Source organism: Homo sapiens, chromosome 5 (genome assembly GCF_000001405.40).
Source record: "Homo sapiens chromosome 5, GRCh38.p14 Primary Assembly".
NCBI lineage: Eukaryota > Metazoa > Chordata > Mammalia > Primates > Hominidae > Homo > Homo sapiens.
The window spans coordinates 72412353-72420656 of NC_000005.10; the positions used below are offsets into that span (position 1 = coordinate 72412353).

Below are 8304 nucleotides of genomic sequence, written 5' to 3' on the forward strand. Positions count from 1 at the left end.
CTAGTTTCTGCTGTTCCTTGCTCTTCTTGTCACATTAGTAGCCTGTAGTTGACTGAGACTTCCAGAAGAAGGGGCTACAGCTCCTCTTCCTCACTCTGCCCCACTGGTGCATCACTACTAATCTCATCTCACCACCCCAAGATGTTAAGAATTATGAGAATGTGAAAAGAGTTCCCTCTAAGTCTAAGAAAAGTCTTAGACTGGCAAGTCATTCATTCCACAAATATTTGTTGAGTTCTTATCCTGTCTCAGGTTTTGTTCTAGGAGCTGGCAGTGCAGCAGTGAACAACAAAAAAAATTCCCTGCACACATGAGACTTATAATCTAGTTGAGAGAGACTGACAATAGCAAATAAATGTATGGTATGTTCGAAAGCAGTAAGTACTGTGGGTAAACTAAGGCAAGACAATGGAGGTGAAGCTGGGATGGACTGTAATATTTTAAATAGGTTGGGCAGGAAAGATGTCTCTGATAAATGCATTTGACCAGACGCCAAAGACAGTTAAGAGAATGAGCAAGGGGATAGCTGAGGAAAGGAAATTCTAGGGAGAGGAAATAGCAAGCACAAAGGCCTGAGTCCAGAATGCATGATGTCCTGTCCAAGGAGCAGCAAGAAGAATATGGTAGCGGGGAAATGAGGAGCATGGGAGACTTTTGCAGAGCTCTACCCAGAGGAGGATGGCGCTAGCTTGGACTCAGGTAGCAGTGGTAAAGGTAGTTGAGACATTGTCGTATTTATGATCGATTTTGAAGGTAGAGATTTCAAGATTTGCTAATAGATATGAAAGAGTAGAGGATCGATAGGTTGGAGAAAGACATGTTTTAGACATCCAAATGGAAATGTAGGAAAGAGAGTTGGTTATCAAGGTCTGGAATGCAGAGGAGATACTGTGGGTATTGGTGGAGTCTATGCAGATGGTATTGGGAGTGCAGAGAGAGGAGGCCCAAGGACTGAGCTCTAGGCACTCCAACAACAAGAGGTCAGGAAGATGAGAAAGGGTCAGCAGAAGAGACTGAGAAGGAGTTGTTAAGGAAGAAGGGGCAAAGAGAAGGGAGAAGTGTCCCAAATCCAGGTGAGGAAATGTTTCAAGAAGGAAATTGTGATTAGCTCTGTCCAATGCTGAGGAACAAGTAAGCTGAGGCCAGAAGATGGGGCAACGTGGAGGTGAATGGTGACATTAACAGAGTAGCTTTGGTGGAGTGTAGGGAGATGGCTTGAGAGAAAGGGGAGGAAGGAAGCAGAAACAGCAGGAAAAGATTTGCTATAAATGGGAGCAGAAAATGGGCAGAAGCTGGAAGACATGGGGTCAAAGGAATGTTTTCTTCATGATGGGAAGTAAGTGTTATTTTTTCTCCTATGTAGTGTTCATTTCTTTATTTATGACACAAGGGAGATAGGTTTGTTGTAGCCACATTAGAAAATATACAGATAAGAAAACAGGAAGAAGAAATTTATTGAAGAAACCTTTAATCGTACCATGAAGACACATGAACTCTGTCAACATCTTGGTAGGCAACCTTCCGGACTTTTTTCCATGCTGTGCAAGCTGTTTAGTCATCTCCTTTTTAAACTGAACAGTATAATTTCAATATCTCTTATGTCAACATGCATTTATGTCATCTTTATTAAATAGCTGCATAATATCTCATTTATTTGAATATACCTGGATTTGCTTAGTCAATTATTACATATTTAAATTGTTTCTTCTTTTACCTATTAAAAACATTCCTTTGTACCTATATTTTTGTGTACCTGTACAGTGATTTTCTTAGGATGAATTTAGAAGTAGAACTATGAATCTATGCACATTTTAAAAAGATGTTTAACATTTTTTTAAAAGAGATGAGATATTTAGCATATTTTTTAAAAAGATGTTTAACATATTACAATAGCATAAACAGCAATGTGATATGTTTTCTATGGCTGCTGTAGAATGGAAAATTTAAAATCTCCAAGCTTTCAAATTCAGAAATCAAAGTGAAGCCAAAGGTCCCTAGGTTTTAAATAGCAGAATCATTCAGGAAGGGAGAAACATTGATTTGTTGGCACAAGGCTTTAAAAATAAATATTTTATACAAATGAAGGTAAAAGAATATATTCAAATCGGATATTTTGAAGACTAAGGAAACAAAACTTAATTTGAGGAAAGTTTTGTTTTAAATTGTCAAACATATGCTTATTCTGTATCTTGTCATCATGAAATTCAGTCTGGGCTTGTTTGTCAGAAGCTTTCCAGTGAGATGGTGCCATTGCATACTGTTGTATAACCTTGTCTTGAGAGGATGATGCTTGCTTGTTTGTTTTTGTAGGAAATTTTATTGACATTGCATTTTTGTTAAAGGAAACTGAATTTCAATTTATTTGCCAATCGTGTAATTTTAACCCATTATCTATACCTGCACATAATTAATCTTGTTTTAATAAAAACAGGAACAAGTATAAAACTTGTTCTAATTCTCCTGGAAATAAGATTTCCCCCTCTGTATCAGTTATGGTAGATTCTTGGCTTTTTGTCTGACATCACAAAGACCTTTTTTTTTTTTTTTTTAATGATCTGGCACTGAGCAAAGTAGCATAGTTTAGTAGAAAACCTTCATGTCCTGGTTCTGCTAATTTGACTGTGAGATCTGCAAAATGGAGATAATACCTGTCTCGAAGGTGTTCATTTCCATTTAAAAAGTATGTAAAAGCCTGGGAGCTTCTGCTGCTGGTCATTTCACAGGCACTCAATAAAGAGCTATCGATTTATAATGTGTATCAGTTGCATCAGATCATGTCAGCTTCAAGGAGTGACAGATGTCTTTATTTTTCTAAAACAAATTGTGACCCGAAGACCCCAAGTAGGGGAGTCAGTATCAGTCTAATATTTGTCATTTTTCATGTTCACCCTTTCTTTTGGATTGCACTTGGACAGTGGCTCCTTATCAATGTGTCTCCAATTATGTGTGCATACACACATCCCTGTGTGTGTGTGTCTATTTGGAGGGAACAGGAAAGGAATCTGCCTATCAGATCACACTGGTCACCCTCAACATCATGGTTCCTTTTGCTGCATGCTGCTGGGGTGGAGAGCTGGCCCCCTGTTCATGGGTAAGACCACTCTAGACAGGTTTCACAGAGCTCCGCCTTTGCTAGAGTCTGGACGGAGGGACCTAGCTCTGCTCTGAAGGGCAGCAGAGTTGTTTGACATCTGGCCTCTGTAGGCAGCACACAGGTTGTATAAGTTGGATCTTGCCCCACGAGGAACTCACAAACCCTGTCTCTTTCCTAGTATCTTGGAAACCAACAACCCCATAACACGCCCTTCTTTTACCTTCAAAATGAGTTTCTCCATGCAGAAGCAATCCCCAGGTCTTTAAAAATAAGGCCTCTTTGGAGTTGTCTCCCTGGTGTTTCTGTGTGTGTGTGTGTGTGTGTGTGTGTGTGTGTGTCGTCACTGAGGCATATGAAACCACTGTTAATTCCCTCTCAAAGATAAGAGTAAAACCCTAACTGCCTAGCTTTTATTTGTGGGAGAAGGGAGTATAATCATCTTTGTTTCTTTAGAAAAGTCTAGACTAAGAAGGAACAAAAAAAATGCAACAATTAATATTACAGTAACTCATCTTGTTAAATATGAATTCATTCCAGACTCAAAATCAGGTCACATCTGGATTCCAAAGCTGACATAGATGTGAACCAAAAGAAAATCACAGGGTGGCAGTGGGGAGGGAAGCATTTGTGCAGATTGGAGAGGCCATTTATAAAGGTGAAAGGCCGGAGCCTATTGCCTGTCTAAATGCTAAGGTCTAGACTCCCAGATTCTAAAATGCGGAAGGAATCATTGAGACTCGAACTTCCCTCCCCACTTAGAGATCTGTGTCTGACATGCTTTGCCAATGAGTACTTTGTCTCACACTATGTGTGTATGGTAAGAAAGAGCTGACTTCTTCAGGAGACAGCTCATTCCATTGCTGGACAGAACAGTTTTTAATATTCTTCTGATCTTGAATTAAAAACATCCTAATGGCCACTTTTAGAATGAGTTTTGCTTTTCAAGAGTAATGTGGAGTAAGGGAAGCCCAGTGTTGAAACATTTAAAGCCAGTTGTTACATTCCACTTCCTGGATCCCTGAGTTCCCCAGTTTCTACAGCTGGAACCCCTTACCTCTCAGTACAGGCCAGTGAGGGACCAAGATGAAAGGACCTTGAATGCAAACCTCTTTGCTTCCAAATCAAGCAGTGTTATGGGTGGTTCTACTTCACCTGAATACCCTAGTTCTGATGACTAACGATAAGAGCAGCATTAGCTGACAATTACATGTGCTGGAGTCACTGTTCTAAGTACTTTGTGTGTGTGTGTGTGTGTGTGTGTGTGTACCGCTTACTCCTTGCAACTACCCTGAGGTAGGTACCATTTTTATCCCCATTTTACAGATGAGGAAACTGAGATCACATAGCTAGTTACTGGCACAACTGGGATGGCTTTAGAGTCCATGGGCTTAATCTCTAAGCCAGTGGTTCTCAAACGTGAGCATTTCTTAGAATCCCAGAGGGCCTGCTCAAACATAGACTGCTAGGTGTTTGCGATTCAGACGTCTTGTGGGAGGAGGAGTGAGGATTTGCATTTCTGACTAGTTCCTAGGTGCTGCTGCTGCCAGTCTGAGAAGGACATTTTGAGAACCACTACTGTGTGCTCACTGAATCCAGCTCTTGATTCCCATTTTTGAGTGGCTTCCTTTGTTGCCTGCCTGGTACCCTGACTCCTCAGGGACTGGCTCCCTTTTCCCTCTAAGTCTACCAGAACATTGCTGGGTCCCCACTCTCTGCTCTAAGACGCCCCATACCACCTGCTTTCCTGGGCCTTTACCTATTGTCATCTGCAAGATGTGTCTGTTCTCCAACTGCCTTCCTGGCCTTCCAGGTGCTAGAAACTTCCTCCATCATAGCCACTTCGTCGGGGGTTAATCTGGCCTGTGGATTATACTGTGTCCTGTCCCTCCACAAACTGAGTTGTAGCGATGACAGATGTCACATGTGCCTTAAAACTTCTGAATTAGATGGTATGGGTGCAGGGAATAGACTCCAGAGACCCTGAGCAGCCCCACCGCCGTCCCGGCCCGGTTAACCTCACGCCCAGCCCTGGGAGGAGCCGCAAGTGCGCAGCGGGCGCCACTCGCCATCCCCGCACCCATGAGCAAAGAGGCCCAGGCCGAGCCGCCGCCGCGACACCAAACCCAGCACCAGGGGCAGCGCACAGGGATCGGTGGCCAGGGTGCCTCACATCGGCTGCGCCTGCCCGCGAGGACAAGAAGGATGGGGTTTCATCAGCGGGAATGACACCAAGGAAGATGTATTTTGTACAGCAGACTGCCATAAAGCAGCAGCAGCTCAGGAATCACCTTCGCAGCGTGGTCGTGGAGAGCTGTGGAGTTTGGTGTTGAAGGAGCAAAGGGTGCGGAGGCGGCAAATGCCACGGGCCCTGGTGGCGGTCCAGTACGAGGCAGTACATGCAGCGACCGCAACCCTTTGAGACGCCATCCGCACTGCAGGCGCCTCGTGCACTTAGCAGTAGGATCAACAGAATAGTGGGCGTGGGTGAAAAACAAGGGATGGGAGCGCGCCCAAGGGCCAGGCCCAACCACGCGCCGGCTGCAGGCGCAGGGCCCCACCTACCACCTGCGGAGACCCACGGGCACGGACTACCACTCCAGCCCTCCTGCAGGAGCAGGGATGGGGGTGCCCACAGTCAGGCGCAGGAGAACAGGGTAGACCAGGGAGGCAGGATGTGCAGCCGGGACTCACACCCCAATTCTCCTCGCCAGAGACAGCCAGCAGTGGACACCGACCAAGACGATAAAGAAAATCAAGGGGCTAAGACCCAAGGTGAGCAGCCGCCTCAACATCAACTACCGACACAGACACCCAGAAAACTCTAAACCACAAGATGGCAAAGAGACAAAAGCAATCCATCAGCTGAGAATCCGGCTCCCAAGGCTGAGTAAATGCGGGCTTACCATCTCTACCACCATCCTGGTTATCATCCAACAAGAACAAAGGAATGCGAAATTCCAGCAACAAGAAATGAACAAAAGATTGGAGCTGAAGATCTTAAGTGCTTGTTTTTTGTCCGTTGACCAGACAACTAGAACTATCTGCATTGTCTACGCAGCATGGTATTTTGTTTTGCTTTTGAGATAGGGACTCATGATGTCACCCAGGCTGGAGTGCAGTGGTGCAGTCTCGCTCACTGCAACCTCCTCCTGGGCTCAAGAGATCCTCCCGCCTCAGCCTCTCGAGTAGCTGGGACCATAGATGCGCACATCATGCCAGGTTAATTTTTTGTTTTTGTTTTGTTTTGTTTTGTTTTGTTGAGATGGAGTCTCGCTCTTTCGCCCAGGCTGGAGTGCAGTGGCGCGATCTCGGCCCGCTGCAAGCTCGTCCTCCCGGGTTCATGCCATTCCCCTGCCTTAGCCTACCCAGTAGCTGGGACTACTGGCGCCCACCACCACGCCTGGCTAATTTTTTGTATTTTTAGTAGAGACGGGGTTTCACCGTGTTAGCCAAGATGGTCTCGATCTCCTGACATCGTGATCTGCCCGCCTCGGCCTCCCAAAGTGCTGGGATTACAGCCATGAGCCACCGTGCCCGGCCCATGCCAGGTTAATTTTTATACTGGTTAATTTTTATATACTGGTTATACAGGTTAATTTTTATACCGGGGAGGGGGAGTCTCGCAGTGTTGCCCAGGCTGGTCTCGAACTGCTGAGTTCAAGCCATCCGCTCGCCTCCAGACAGTTTTTAAAAAATTGTTTTTACCTGAAGACGTCTCTTTTTGGTAATAACAAACATTTTTTAAGCCCCCCCCCTTTTTTTTCAATATACCTTTAAAGATTTTTAAATTGTTTCATATCTGGTCAAGTTGAGATTTTTAAGAACTTCATTTTTAATTTGTAATAAAAGTTTACGACTTGGTTTTTTCAAAAAAGTCAACAAACTGTAAGGACCTGTTAATTAAAGTCTTAAATAATTTTTTTTAAAAAGGCTTCTGAGAACCTGTGATCTAGGTTAATTGTCCTAGGCCAGAGAAGTCTTAATGAACAGTGACTTCAAACCTGTGACTATCCAGAAGACCCTCCTCTGACCTTTCTCTAGGCCATGGAGGCTCAGAACTGGACATAGTGCACCACATGGAATCTGACAATTCACTGGGTTCATCATTTTCCTTCTTCCGGAATTTGATATTCTATTAATACTGCCTGTGATTGCATTAGTTTATCCTTTGGTGTGTATTCACTTTTTGTCCAAGACTTCCAAATATTTTTCAAATAAACTGTTTTCAGACCCTTCTTGCCTGCATCTTATGCTTACGTAAGTACTTTTTTTTCCTACCTTGACACAGGACTTTATAGTTATCCATGCTAACTTTCATCTGGTTTGTTTTTATATTGCATCAGCCAAAGTAATTTTTTTCTTTTTGAAATAAATCTTTTTTATTGTTTTTTAATGAAAGGAATATTTGCTCATTACAAAAATACTATGAAGTGCAGATAAACAAAAAATAACATTAAAATTTTATTATGCCACTCACCCACAGTTAATCATTGTGAATACTTCGGTGTATATCTTTCTAGAATCTTAATAAATATCTTTCTAAATTATCCATAAACAAATTTCCACACATAAATGACCCATAGCAGTAATTTTTAGATTCAGTCTTACATCTAGAGTATTTACTATTTCTTCTAGCTCTGAGTCAGCCACAAAGTGGCTTCTGTGTTTTTGTGCATGTTGTTGATAAAATATCGTATGGTATAAACAAAAACAGAATCCCGCCTCATAGCCCAATATTTTTCCCTCCGGAAGACTACTGATTCACAATTCAGCACTTCTTGTGTAGCAGTTTTTAACCAGTTAGAAATTCACGGGCCGGACGCGGTGGCTCCTGCCTGTAATCCCAGCACTCTGGGAGGCCGAGGCGGGTGGATCACGAGGTCAGGATATCGAGACCATCCGGGCTAACACAGTGAAACCCCGTCTCTACTAAAAAATACAAAATATTTGCCGGGCGTAGTGGCGGGTGCCTGTAGACCCAGCTACTCGGGAGGCTGAGGCAGGAGAATGGCGTGTACCTGGGAGGCGGAGCTTGCAGTCAGCCCAGCCGAGATCGCGCCACTGCACTCCAGCCTGGGAGACAAAGCGAGACTACGTCTCAAAAAAAAAAAAAAAAAAAAAAAAAAAAAAAAAAAAAAAAAAAAAAAAATTCGTGTACTTGCACTCTTAGTCCAGTTTTCTATGTTATTCAGACGGATAATGTGAGGGGC

At 43.5% G+C, this 8304-nt stretch overlaps 1 pseudogene; it reads left to right on the forward strand.

Annotated features, from left to right (window-relative positions):
- Positions 5207-6174, forward strand: YBX1P5 (Y-box binding protein 1 pseudogene 5; annotated as a pseudogene).